The following is a 14,678-nucleotide window of genomic DNA, read 5'->3' on the forward strand; positions in this document are numbered from 1 at the left end:
CTGTTTTTTTCCATTCTCCCTCCCTTAAAGTTTTATTACGAAAATCTTCAAATATACAGAAAAGTATATTTGATGATTTCCAAATGCACAAAGTGGAAGACAAGTCATTTTTAAGAGACAAGTGCCCTCTTAAAAATTCTTGCATAAGCCCGGGCTTGGTGGCTCACGCCTGTAATCTTCAGCACTTTGGGAGGCTGAGTCAGGCAGATCACTTGAGGTCAAGAGTCAAGACCGCCTGGCCAATATGGTGAAATCCCATCTCTACTAAAAATACAAAAAAACCATAGCCAGGCCGGGCACGGCGGCTCACGCCTGTAATCCCAGCACTTTGGGAGGCCGAGGTGGGCGGATCACGAGGTCAGCAGATCAAGACCATCCTGGCTAACACGGTGAAACCCTGTCTCTACTAAAAGTACAAAAATGAGCTGGTCGTGGTGGTGGGCACCTGTAATCCCTGCTACTTGGGAAGCTGAGGCAGGAGAATGGCTTGAACCCGGGAGGCAGAGGTTGCAGTGAGCCAAGATCACGCCACTGCACTCCAGCCTGGTGACAGAGCAAGACTGTCAAAAACAACAACAACAACAACAACAACAACCAAAAAACATAGCTGGGCCTGGTGGCACACGCCTGTAATCCCAGCTACTCGGGAGGCTGAGGCAGGAGAACTGGTTGAACCCAGGAGGTGGGGTTACAGTGAGCTGAGATTGTGCCACTGCACTCCAGCCTGGGCCACAAGAGAGAGATTCCATTTCAAAAACAACAACAACAAAACAAAACACAAAAACCTTGCATAATTATTTGCTGATAATTTACCTACGGTATTATTTACTAATCATCTTTGATGAGACTTGAACCAGGTAGCCTCTGCTAGGGAGGGTGGGAAGGAAGAAGGCTCTGAGATGATAACCAATGGATGGGGTAAAGGGAAGTCTGTTTAATATTTACTTAAAAGTTAATATGGACAACTGAGCAGACACTGCTTGCATCCCTGGAAGGGACTGTGTTGGGACTTATCTAGACCAGGTCTTTATGCAGAATAAACAGATGTAAAGTGGGGCCTTTGATTCCACAGGGCTCCCCAAGGGTGCTTCATGGCAAGGTAGATAGAGATTTAAATTTAGTTTGCTGAGTTGGCTCTACTGCTCATCTCTACCAAAACAATAGGGACCCTGTTGCATTTATGTTTGTGTATCTTTAAGCCCTAGAGGCCTCTAGCACAAGACTAGGTATTGAAATATTAGTTGAGATAAAGGGAATAAAAGCAGCCAACACATGAGTGTTTACTATGTACCATTATCTCATTTAATCTTTACAACTCTATAAAGTAGATACTGTTATCCCCATCTTACCAATGGAGAACTGAGAAAGGGGGGTTAATTGGCTGAGGTCATACAAGATAAATGGTATAGGTTTGACCTCAGGCAATCTGACTTTCGAGCTTGTGTGTTTAACCATTACACTACTCCATCTTCACTCCTTCATAGTCAAGGTAAGGGCAATGAATGCTCTGCAGAGAGAAGGGACTTGGCTTGAATTTTATCCATCAAATTAACTAAGGCAACTCATTTACATTATGTCTTCCATGTTTCTCGAGGACAAGTGAAGCTCAGGGTATTAAATAATGGCTGTTAAAAAAGTATTAAACGGAGGTTATTAAATGAGTAAATGAGTATTAAATAAAGGCTATTAAAAAGTATTCAAAAATATAAGGATGCCAAAAGGAAGTCCCTTCATTCAGCCTCACGAGTAGTTCTAGGGTTCAAGGAAGTTAAGAATCACTGCTCAAAGTCAGGCTATTTCCACAGGAAAATGAAAAGTCTTCACAGCTTACTTTCTTTAATTACATCATAAAACAAAATTAGAACATACAAGAAACAATAATAGTTACATAACAATTTACTTTATATATTTATATATAAAAAACTTTTTTTTTTTTTTTTTAGTCCAAAGATTTTTAAAGCAAAAGGAATCCTCTACTGCCACCTCGGATTTTATTTATTTTAAATAATCCCCCTCCCCCCATCCTCAAGCGCCAAAAGTACTGGGTGGAAACAGTCACTTGGAGAGCTAATGGAACCTGGTGCTAAGTCACCCCGTAGGCAACTGTGTCGGCTCCAGAGATTGGCTAAGCATTTGGAGCAGGCCTAGTGGAGAAACAAGCAAGCAGCAGCTCTCACACACTGCAGCACTCCAGGGTAGGCCCTAAGGCTTGGGAAGGAGGGAATCAGACCCTTCAGGTCAACCACCTCTGCATTTTACCCCCTCAGGGGAGTGAGTGGGGGTGCGGGGTGCAGGGATGAAACAGAGCCTGGTATGAAGATAAAAATGTCTCCAACAGCACCATTTACCCATCCATCTCTGTCCCTGAGCAGAGTCTGACAGGCATGGGTAGTCCTCACAGTTCTCTGAGCTCTGCACAGGCCACATTATTCGGATCTGTACTCTCAGGGTCACGGGAAGGTGGGCAAAGGTGAGCAGAGCAGCTGAGAAGTGCACATGGTAGGTTACCTGGAAACAATTCCTAGGAGAAAAAAGGAGGAGGCCAGAGTAGGAAGCATCTGAAGGCCAAGTCATAAAACAGGAATGGAGAAAAACAAAATTAAGAAATGCAAAATTAAGAAGGCCGCTCTCCTCTTACAGTCAACCTTTGGAGTGGGTAGTCACAGATACTCAGGGCTCCAAGAGCCACACCATGGTGAGAAAGGACATGGGTAGCTTCTGAGGAGCATGGTCTCGTGGATCTTGTGTATGTGCCAACAGGCTGTAAGGGTTAGAAGTTAGTGTGTAATTTGGAAGTAGGGTGAGGAGGGGAGTGAGAAGAAATCAAAAGCTCATCCCTTCCTGCACTATTAGAAATTAACAGTCATCAGAGAAGCACAGATAAATTATTCTTAAGGGCAGGAAAAAACTAATGTAAACCCAGGAAAGCAGCAGCAAAGGTTTCACTTACTAAAAATCTATTATATAGGAAAGAAAATTATTTGTCCACAGGGGAAAAAAGTAATCAAATCATGCCAGTTAGAGACTTTTTCAAGTTAAGATTTTCTAAGACCTTAGGTTTTCATTCTCTAGTGCCATAAAAAAGGAAAAGAAAAAAAAAGAGTAGAATAATGACTTCAAGGCCTGAGAAGGTTCAGGCTAAGGTAAGAAACATATATGTGTGAGCAGCAATGAGGTACAGATCTGAATTAATGAGATAATGGCAAGAGAAACTTAGTGAAGCAAAGTTTTCTTTTCTTTTCTCTTTTTTGTGAGATGGAGTCTCACTCCGTTGCCCAGGCTGGAGTGCAGTGGCGTGATCTCGGCTCACTGCAACATCCGCCTCCCAGGTTCAAGTGATTCTCTTGCCTCAGCCTCCCAAGTAGCTGGGATTTTGTATTTTCAGTAGAGATGGGGTTTCACCATGTTGGCCAGGCTGTTCTCAAACTCCTGACACTTTGTGATCCGCCCGCCTCGGCCTCCCAAAGTGCTGGGATTACAGGCGTGAGCCACCACGCCTGGCTGCAAAGTTTTCTTCTTCCAATTTAACAAAAAAGACGTCACTTCAAAGATGATCCTTGGTTCTTGGGGCATGACAGAAGAGAAAAGGTAAATATGTCTGGACACCTCTCTTCTCCCATCTCTTCCTAGGGTAAGGACTGTCATTTACTGCTCACTTCTCTAGTCCTAGTACCAAAACCATGCCCAGATGCAGCTGGGGTGCACTTGTGGTTCTTTCGGTGGTGCCAAAACCTATCTGTTTGACTGGTTAAGTGTGTAGAAAGTAGGAGCCCTCTTTGCCAGTAAAAAGGGGTGCAGTTGATCAGAGAGGAAAGTAAATGTACCCATGTGTGACACAGCCATCACTATGTATTCAAGACAGATGCTGTACCTGAGGCAAAGTACCCCAATTCTAGAGCTAATTATCTGCTTTATTTGAAACTTGTCTATCATTTTACCATGCCGATTCTTCAAAATAAGACTATAAAACATAAAACAGAAAGGACTATTGATAGGATTTTGCTTGTTCATGGTTCTTTGTAAAACAGCAATAAACCACCCTGGCTGAGGAAGCACTGAGACTCAACCTCTATAAACTGAACTTCACAAGCACTTATTTAAAAACAAGAGGCAGAGATGGAAGAAGCGCATATGGACTTTCTCTTAACATCCCACAGGGGAGCTTGCCCTAATTCTTTTTCTCCTGAAAATTAACTCTCTTGGGCTCCAAAGATCAACTCAGCTTCACCTAAGAGGTTATGTACTGACCTTCCTAACGATCAAAGGCTTCAGAGACACTGAATTGATGCGTCTAAAAAAAATAGATACAACGGGCCGGGCGCGGTGGCTCACGCCTGTAATCCCAGCACTTTGGGAGGCCGAGGCGGGTGGATCATGAGGTCAGGAGATCGAGACCATCCTGGCTAACAGGGTGAAACCCCGTCTCTACTAAAAATACAAAAAATTAGCCGGGCGTGGTGGCGGGAGCCTGTAGTCCCAGCTACTTGGGAGGCTGAGGCAGGAGAATGGCGTGAACCTGGGAGGTGGAGCTTGCAGTGAGCCGAGATCACGCCACTGCACTCCAGCCTGGGAAACAGAGCGAGACTCTGTCTCAAAAATAAATAAATAAATAAATACAACAGGTAGATGTGACTTGAGGGGGAAGCTGCAGAAGCCCATCATGCAAGAAACTCACTTGCCTCTTATGGTACTTTCAGGCAGGTAGAATGTTTATCCTGGGCTGGGCGCAGTGGCTCACGCCTGTAATCCTAGCATGTTGGGAGGCTGAGGTGGGCAGATCACCTGAGGTTGGGAGTTTGAAACCAGCCTGACCAACATGGTGAAACCCCGTCTCTACTAAAAATACAAATTTTGCCGGGCGTGGTGGCACAGGCTGTAATTCCAGCTACTCGGGAGGCTAAGGGAGGAGAATCGCTTGAACCCAAGAGGCGGAGGTTGCGGTGAGCCGAGATCTCACTATTGCACTCCAGCCTGGGCAACAAGAAAAAAAAAAAAAGTTTATCCCAAGTGAGAAGGCAAGGTTAGTAACCTAGTAACCTATGTTCTTTGCTGGAGAATCAAAATGTCAAGTTAGGGCACTCGGATACAACCCAATTTTATTCCTAAACTACCTGGGCTAATTATACCCTACTGGTATGATTTTATACAGCTCTCTGTATCTTCCAATCTTACATTTAAAATTTATGATAGAAACTGGCCAGGTGCGGTGGCTTACACCTGTAATCCCAGCACTTTGGGAGGCCAAGGCAGGTGGACCACTTGAGGTCAGAAGTTCGAGACTAGCCTGGCCAACATGGCAAAACCCCATCTCTATGAAAAATACAAACATTAGCTGGGCGTGGTGGTGGGCACCTGTAATCCTGGCCTCTTGGGAGGCTGAAACAGAAGAATCACTTGAACCCAGGAGGCAGAGGTTGCAGTGAACTGAGATTGTGCCATGGCACTCCAACCTGGGTGACAGAGCGAGACTCCATGTCAAAAAAAAAAAAAAAAAAAAGAAATATAGGCGAGGAAAGGCTGTGACTCCATTTTTCCCCATTATCCTTTTACTGCTTTAGAATTCTTTGGTACAACATCATTAATGGGGAGAGAGGTTCTGTCTCAAGAATTCCAACCAAACATCCTACATTTCTTCTCAAACAGGACTTGGCTAATTCACAGTGCCTGGGTTTGAGGTGGCTAAAGATTCTAGGATTGGCAGGCAGATAGAGAGGCAATCTTTTTGTAAAATGCTTCAGAGCTCAAACATATGATTGAGAAAGTCTGTCAGCCAGGAGATACAACCAGGATAAAAGCCTACCCTTAAATCATACACATAAGGAGGAATAAGGCAAAATAGAGCAATTTCCTTTAAACCCCTCCTCTCACTGGTAGCAACTGGCATGAGCCGCCTGTGACTTTCAGCACAATAAACATAAAATGGCCAAGGGTCACCCATGACCCATGAGTGCTCTTCTCCCAACAACACAGTCACCTAAGGACATGCTGACTAAACAAGCAGGCAGGAAGCCACTCTCTTCTTTCCAGTGACACTCTCACACTTTCTAACAACTTCAAACCAAGACAGGTTTCATCACATATTTTGTTTAGTCCCCCATGGCATTAGTGGGCTATCAAACTAGTAACGATGCATTTTTTTCTTTCTTTCTTTCTTTTTTTTTGAGATAGTCTCACTCTGTCGCCCAGGGTGGAGTGCAGTGGTGCGATCTCAGCTCACTGCAACCTCCACCTCCCGGGTTCAAGCAATTCTCTGCCTCAGCCTCCCGAGTAGCTGGGATTACAGGCACCTGCCACCACACCTGGCTAATTTTTGTATTTTCAGTAGAGACAGCATTTCACCATCTTGGCCAGGCTGTTCTTGAACTCCTGACCTTGTGATCCACCCACCGTGCCGGGCCATAACAATGCATTTTACAAGGCAATTAGAAGTAATAAAAGAATGTCGCTACTAAAACATTATGGCTATCTTGAATAACTCAAATAGTCTGGAAAGCCCAAAATGAAGCATCATAAATTTACTAGGTTTCCCTATAAAATGTTTGATACAAGGGATATGTGAAACTTCTGACTTACATGTCTGCTAAATCAACTTAATGAATGTGGAAATCAGACTAGAAATTTGCAAAAGCTACTTAAGGAATACTTTTACCTTCAGTAAAGACAAGAGCAGAATAGGAGAAGAAAACATTTTTTACACAAAGCACAATATGCTTTCATATTCCAAATATTGGAAAAAGGGCTAAGGCCATATCCCTTTCTTCCTCATATCCAACAGTTTGCTTTTAAACTGAATTCAAATTCAGTATGCAAACACCAAAGACCACCCAATGAAAAATGGCCTGAGCCACCTAACAGTCACTGAACTTTAAGGCTGCCTTTGACAGCCCCTGGAGTAGGAGAAGGATTCAAAAAGGAAGCTAGACTTGAGACATCTGAGAGTAAATCAGCAGCATTACTGAGGGTGAGATGGAGGCTTTAAATAGAGGGAAAGGATGGGTGTGGGAAGGAAATGGTGGAAATCAGTGCAAAAATAAGCTGGAGTCAGCTCAATGGGGCTGATGAAGAGGATGAAAAGACATTGATGTAGCAAATGATGCTGGAAGATGTAAGGTATGAGATTAGGGGAAAAACTGCTTAGAAAAGAGATGATTTGGATGTTCAAGAACTTTCTCCAGAGACACTACAGTAATTCCTCCTTGCCCACCTGTAGGTTTACGGCAGTAGTTTTGAGGGTACCTTCTAACTTATCCCCAAATCTCTTCTCTCTGTTCACTGTTTTTTTCCATTATAAAAGGCATATTTTGGAGTGGCTATGAGGTTAGACAAACAGATCAATTAGCTTTTCCTGTAAAGAATTTTTCCTACATTAAGCCTTACTGAATTTTCAAAAGTATCCCAGATGTTGAGAGAGGAAGCATTATGTTCAGATGTCAGGCTCCTTTCCACCTGACCAAAACTTACCATGCTTTGTGTTCTCTCAAAGTCCTAGCATATTCATCAGCTGGTGTAGGCTGCAAATCAGCATAAAAAAATGTATTTCCTTCCAAGCTTGATAGGCCTGAAGTTTTCTTGAGAAAGGAACAAGGCTTCTGCCTGACAACATACAAGCCAGTGCTGCACATCTCTGAGTCTTCATTCTCTCTCACTTGACTCTGTTCTTGGCACAAACAGGCTGGAATTTGCCTTAATAGCAGAGATCACCAGAGCAAGTCCCCATGGACCTGCCTGTGGGTATATCCTTTGAGCAGAGAAACAGCATTTCCAAGATCATCATGAACTGATGAATAGAGTCTTTTAAACTTATCTTTTAAGTAAAGAAGTACCTTAATAGCCTCAACTTAGGCAACTCAAATCCACACTCACTAATCAATCTGGGTTTTATGGTCAATTTGTACAGGCACTAAAACAACAACAAAACACCTTAAACTTTAAAGCAGATGGCCCCTAAATAGTTCTCTCCTTTAGTTTTGTTTGAGTAACCTAGGGATCTGAATATTATTAACCACATCTGGAAGTATGTGTGTATGCACGTATGTATTTTTATGTGTAGGGGTACAGACAAGAAACTGAGTTTCATGTTAAAAACTATATTCCTTATAAGGTAATCTGAAAGAGAATAAGGGGAAAGGGGAATGAATAAACAAGTAATCTGCGTTTTTAAAGCGGCACAATAAAACAGGATTTAAAATAAATTTAATATGATAAATATTAATGGATAGTATAGACTTCTAAGACCCTTTCATCCAATTGCCTTCTAAATCAATGGATAAATAAATCAGACTTTATTCTTATATATGCTGGTATAATCAGCAACTGCAGCATTAAAACAAACCTCTTAAGCTGGGTACAGTGGCACACACCTGTAGTCCCAGCTACTTGGGAGGCTGAGGTGGGAGGAAGGCTTGAGCCCAGGAGTTTGAGTCCAGGCTGGGCAAGATAGCGAGACCCCATCTCTAAAAAAATAAAATAAAATAAAATAAATAAATAAAACAAGCCTTTTAATAGTCTGGATCATATAGAAGATTAATATTATGATGGATTGCACATTAATGTCTCAAAGGACACCCCCCGCCAAAATCACCCTACTAAAAATCACACTGGGTTTCTAATCTTGGGGTTTAGAAATTTTCTTCTTATGCTTTAAAAACTCATTTTACTTCCTTTATCCTCTGATTTTTTGGGAAGACAGAGGGTGCTTCTTCTTGGACTCTTGAGTCCTGGACACTAAATTCCTCCCTCAGTTCTAGTGCCCAGGCTAAGCAGAGACACTAAACCCCTTACTTCCTCTCAGTGTTCTCTTTCAGCTGCCTCAATGCTTCACCTGGCTACATTCATACTTCATTCAGAAGTCTGAACAGGGCCGGGCATGGTGGCTCATGCCTGTAGTCCCAGCACTTTGGGAGGCTGAGGCAGGTGGATCATTTGAGGTCAGGAGTTCAAGACCAGGCTGGCCAACATGTGAAACCCCATCTCTACTAAAAATACAAAAATTAGCCAGGCAGTAGTGGTGCATGCCTGTAATCCCAGCTACTCGGTAGGCTGAGGCAAGAGAATCGCTTGAGCCTGGGAAGTGGAGGTTGCGGTGAGCCGAGATCGCACCACTGCACTCCAGTCTGGGCAAGAGTGAGAACCCGTCTTAAAAAAAAAAAAAAAAAAAAAAAAAGACTGGGGCAGAAAAGAGAGATGACTGACAGGTTATGGGAAGGTTCTGGCCCTTTGGGGTGCCAACACTAGATATGAATCCATTAACACTGACATACAATTGACCAGCTGTTATAGAGCCATTCTTGTATCCCTGAAAGGCTGAAATGGGGGAAAAGAGAGAAACAGACTGGCTAGAATACACAGCTCCTCTAGTGGCATTCCTGTTAAAACAACCTCATAGGTCAGAGATGCCACTGATCACTCCTAGATTTCAGTAAATATATAATAACATTAATCATTAATGTCTGAACTTGGGTGTTGGGGACTTTCAGGCTCTGTTTTGTGATTTATCATTTTCACTCTTTCCTAATAATACATCTCTCTCTTTCCTTATGATACAGTTGGTGGAGTCTGACAGAAGGAAGAATATGTAGGGGGAATATTGGGGATACCATGCGAATTATCACATATCAGAAGATAAAATAGAAACCAAAAGGTAGCATCTGTTTTCATCAAAACAGTTTCTTCTCATAACTTTTCTTGCTTTCATTAGAGTTTCCTTGCAGGTTGGCAAAGATTCAGGCAGGGTCCCCTAATGGTAAAATTTAGAATTAAAAAAATATTTATTGATAATATCTTTTTAAAAAATGTTTGGTAATCCCAACTAATCATTCAAAATGCAAACTGTAAACACGACAACAGCAAAAGGGTAACAATTGAGTGAGTAAGCAGACTGAACAGGTGACAGACTGAGCAAGAGTGTGGGGGGGAGCAACAGAGAATGTAAGACAGGTGCACAAGTGTGCTACAGACAGTGATAATTTGAGTGTGTAAGAATTACATTTGGACCACAGTGATTTCAAGGCAACCATTTAGGAAACCTCTGGGCCAAATACTAAAACACAGGAGGAATGGACGAGCCTTCTTTGTGAGCATGCTCAGCATGTTGGCATGGAAACAAGGAAGCATAGAAGCTCTTTAGTCACAATGAATGTCTACCATTTCTAAGATGCAAAGAAATTTTCTTTCTGGTCCCTGGGTACATCATATATTGTCTTTCCATGCTTTTCTTGACCCCGGAGGACAGCAGATGCTGTTCTAAAATCCCCAAAGAAACCCCTAGACAAAAATTTAAAAACCACAGTAGCATTAACACGGGGTTTGCTGGAATGCCCCTCCCTATCTTGGCCTATGATTTTCTTATGGGCACCTCAACAGGAATGGTTAAATTTTACCAATCTACTTGATAAAAAAGCCATCACAAACTTCAGTCCCATGGTCACAAAGCTAGAGTGGATGGGGGTAAGGGTGTGTATGTGTATGTATGTGTGGCTCTGGGGATCTGGACACTGCCCTCCCTCACTTTGTAACCCTTGCTCAGAACACTGGGGTTGCTTCCACTGGAGAGACTCCACGGTAGCTCTAGAAGTGTCATTAAATACTCAGTTCGCCAAGGTTGACCACCTCCATTGTCATAGGATGATGCAGCATCTGCAGAAGCGCTGTCTGCTGCCCCCTACTGATGGGGGTGGAGTGACAGGTGCGAAGTAGGCGTGGACTTTAATATTGGGTAAATGGGTCTGAAACAAGACAGAAACATTAAACGTTTAAGAGAGGGCTTAAACAGAAAGAGCAATGTTGGTTCTTAGAAAAACTACCGAGGGGCTCAATGAACATAAAAGCAGGGCAAAGGCTGAGCACTGGTCAGGATGTTAGAGGGCCTGGGTTCTACTTTGTTCCATCCTAGGTTGTTCTCAATGACCAGAACAACTCATATGACTTTGGTACCTGTTTGTGTAATAATAAAACTGAGGGCCGGGCGCGGTGGCTCACGCCTGTAATCCCTGCACTTTGGGAAGCCGAGACGGGCGGATCACGAGGTCAGGAGATTGAGACCATCCAGGCTAACATGGTGAAACCCCGTTTCTACTAAAAATACAAAGGCTAATTTTTGTATTGTTAGTAGAGACGGGGTTTCACCATGTTGGCCAGACTGGTCTCGAACTCCTGACCTCAAGTGGTCCGCCCAAGGATGGGAGATGGAAGAGACTCCTGGCAGCCAGGCAGTCTAGGAACCCTAATGTAAGTAGGCACGTAAGAGGCTCTGGTTGACCTGTGGCTCTCATTCTCTTTGGTGAAGAAAAAAAATGGCTGCAAGGCCACCCCCAGTGCAATTATGCTCACAGTCCTCTATGTCTGAAGAGGGGAAGAGGAACTGAGGCCAACTCGAACTCAAGATGAAGTTTGGTACTCTTTTATTTGCTCAAGGCCATGTGGCCAACGTGGATTTTTTAGAGGTTGGTATTTTTTTTGAGATAGAGTTTCATCTTGTTGCCCAGGCTGGAGTGCAATGGTGTGATCTTGGCTCACTGCAACCTCCGCCTCCTGGTTCAAGCGATTTTCCTGCCTCAGCCTCCTGAGCAGCTGGGATTACAGGCACCTGCCACCATGCTCGGCTAATTTTTGTATTTTTAGTTGAGATGGCATTTCGTCATGTTGACCAGGCTGGTCTTGAACTCCTGACTTCAGGTGATCCTCATGCCTCAGCTTCCCAAAGTGCTGGGATTACAGGCGTGAGCCACCGCGACTGGCCTAGAGGTTGGTATTAAGGGCCTGAATAAGCACACTGCCTTTCCTACAGCAGGTGTGAAGCAGATGTTCCAATAAACATCTGTTGAGCAGAACAATCTAACACACAGATTCATCCAGCTTTTTAAAACTTCTTTTTCGGCCGGGCGCAGTGGCTCATGCCTGTAATCCCAGCACTTTGGGAGGCTGAAGCGGGCGGATCACGAGGTCAGGAGGTCGAGACCATCCTGGCTAACACGGTGAAACTCTGCCTCTACTAAAAATACAAAAAGAAAATTAGCCGGGCGTGGTGGCATGCACCTGTAGTCCCAGCTACTGGGGAGGCTGAGTCAGGAGAATAGCGTGAACCTGGGAGGCAGAGCTTGCAGTGAGCCAAGATCATGCCACTGCGCTCCAGCCTGGGTGACAGAGCGAGACTCTGTCTCAAAAAAAAAGAACAAAAAACTTCTTTTTCTAGTTATTTGGCTATACCTGGGTCTCTCTATTATGGTGGATAGGTCCAAAAGCAAAGGTAAAAATCTGGGCCTGGCACAGTGACTCACACCTGTAATCCGAGCACTTTGGGAGGCTGAGGTGGGAGGATCGCTTGAGGCCAGGAATTTGAGACTAGCCTGGGAAACATAGCAAGACCTTGTCTCCACAAAATAGTTTTTTAAGGCCGGGCATGGTGGCTCACACCTATAATCCCAGCACTTCTGAAGGCCAAGGCAGGCAGATCGCTTGAGCTCAGGAGTTTGAAACCGGCCTGGGCAACATGGTAAAATGCCGTCTCTACCAAAAATACAAAAAATCAGGCTGGCGTGATGGCACACGCCTGTAGTCTCAGCTGTTGGGAGGCTGGGGTGGCAGGAAGCCTTGAGCCTGGGAGACAGAGGTTGCAGTGAGCCAACATCGAGCCACTGCACTCCAGCCTGGGTGACAGAGGAGACCCTGTCTTAAAAAATGAAAAAAACAAGTTTTTCATAAAATTACCTAGGTGTGGTGGTGTGTGCCTGTAGTCCTAGCTACTGGGGATGCTGAGGTGGGAGGATCTTAAGCCTAGGAGTTCGAGGCTGCAGTGTGCTAACAAGGTGCCACTGCACTCCTGCCTGGGCAACAGAGTGAGATCCCATCTCTTAAAAGAAAGACAGAAAAGGTAAAAGTCTATGTCTACTTTACTTGTTGCCTTAAAAAATATGAATCCCAGGAAGAGGGCTCAATGTGAAACACAATTACAAATTAAATTCTTAAATCCCATTTAACCAAACACTTTCTCTGTTATTCCTTTCTTTCCTTTAGAACAAAAATGTGGCATGTGCTTTTTTTTTTTTTTTTCTTCAATCTGGGAATGTTATTAAGCCCTAGACATTATTAGACAGACTCTGCTGGGAGGAGACCTACTTTTCTTCCCTTCAGTGGGTCTTTTCCTACTAAATTTCCATCTCTGGAGCCAGAGGGAAAAACTATCTGTCCTTAGGTTTGCACTTTTTTCTCTTTCCCTTGTTAAATGTTCAAGTAAATATAAAAATCATAGGAACCTAAATTTGAAAAAAGGAAAAAAAAAGAGAGAAGAAAGTGCTGCTAACACTAGAGTTGGAGAGTTATGTAGCCATTTTTACCCTGAGTCTCTTGATTCCAGCCCGTGTGATTTGCTGGCAGTCATAGAGTTCTATCCGCTCAAGGCTATGACAGCTCTTCAAGTGCTCCAGGGATGCATCTGTGATTAGTGGGCAGTTGTCCAGCTCAATCACCTCCAGCTGGTCATGGGCGCAGGCCCCATTCCCCAGGTGACGAATTCCATCATCTGTGATCAGCTCACAGTGAGACAGACTCTGCAGCCAAATAGAGCAAGGAAGGATGTTGAAATATCTTCTGGCATTCCTCTAGCCAGAGGCTTGTGTGAATTGGAAAGGAGACATTTTGGTTTGATTTTGATGAATATGGAGCTGGCACTAGATCCACGTGGTGAAATTTAAAAAACTAGAGATAGTGGGGTTATGCTTTTGGCAATCAGTGATTGATATTTTGGTGTGTGATTCTAAATATATTTTATAAATTCATGTAATGACTATGAAGTAGTTCATAAACAAAATAAGACAGCCTTAAAAATTACCCCTTCCTCAAATTAACACTTTTCCTTCTCTACAGGGATAAATGGGAATCAAGCTTTTCATGCAGTTTTCTGGAATTTGAACTAAATATTGAATATCTGGTTCAGAGACATGCCCCAACAATTAATTAGCTGAAGATTTTTACAGCTGTCAGGTGTGATCATCTCATCATCTCTTCATCAATATTTATTAAATCCCTGATCCTGGGAAACTCAGAAAATCTTGACCCAATTTTAGATAGTACTGTGTCACCAAACACCAAAAATGAGCCTGGATACAACAGAACAGTCACTCAGAATGCCTTCCTCTAGTGTCACTGAAAGTAGGAGCAGAACACCCCTTAGTAAAGCTTTGATTGGTTCCATTCTTACGACCAGTAACATTACATCTTAAGGTGAAGCAAATTGTATTTTGGGCAATCTGATCCCCTGGATCTCTAGAAATTTAAACATCATTCAGGTTGGAGTATAAGTTATCTACAAAAGAGAACTCATATGTTCCAAGGCAGTTTTCAGTCTTCAAGCATTGATATAGAAAACATTTAACTTTTTCAGTTCTTATCTGTTTCCTACTTCACTCATGTACTCCTTTGGTTCTCAGTAAGCTGGCAGTTTGAAGAAGCATCCTTTCCTAAAATGGTAGCCAGACACTAAGAGCTGGGTTCTTGAACTGTAGCACTGGCTTTTGATTAAACCCAGTAAACACATAAAGTTTTCAAAGTTAAACTCACCAATACTTGAAGTCGAGGACAGTGTATAGAAAGTTGGATTAATGTGCTATCTGTTATCTGAAAGAAATAACGTATGTTGATTTTAGGTATAATCCAAATAAAATCCTGAGTCATACCTGATTCTT

At 43.2% G+C, this 14,678-nt stretch overlaps 1 protein-coding gene across 6 annotated transcripts in view; it reads right to left on the minus strand.

The window, feature by feature from the left end:
• Positions 1-1,819: 1,819 nt before the first annotated feature.
• The window catches only part of FBXL20 (F-box and leucine rich repeat protein 20), a 149,894-nt gene continuing 137,035 nt past the window's right edge, over positions 1,820-14,678 (minus strand). For all 6 annotated transcript variants that reach the window (XM_047436952.1, NM_001370209.3, NM_001370208.3 and 3 more), the window contains 3 exons: positions 14,554-14,610; positions 13,332-13,544; positions 1,820-10,724 (listed from right to left, as the gene is read on the minus strand). In XM_047436952.1, the coding sequence (XP_047292908.1) occupies positions 10,617-10,724; positions 13,332-13,544; positions 14,554-14,610 (378 nt within the window). In that variant the 3' untranslated portion in view covers positions 1,820-10,616. The remainder of the gene's footprint in view (positions 10,725-13,331; positions 13,545-14,553; positions 14,611-14,678) is intronic.

The sequence above is a fragment of the Homo sapiens genome, chromosome 17, assembly GCF_000001405.40.
Source record: "Homo sapiens chromosome 17, GRCh38.p14 Primary Assembly".
NCBI lineage: Eukaryota > Metazoa > Chordata > Mammalia > Primates > Hominidae > Homo > Homo sapiens.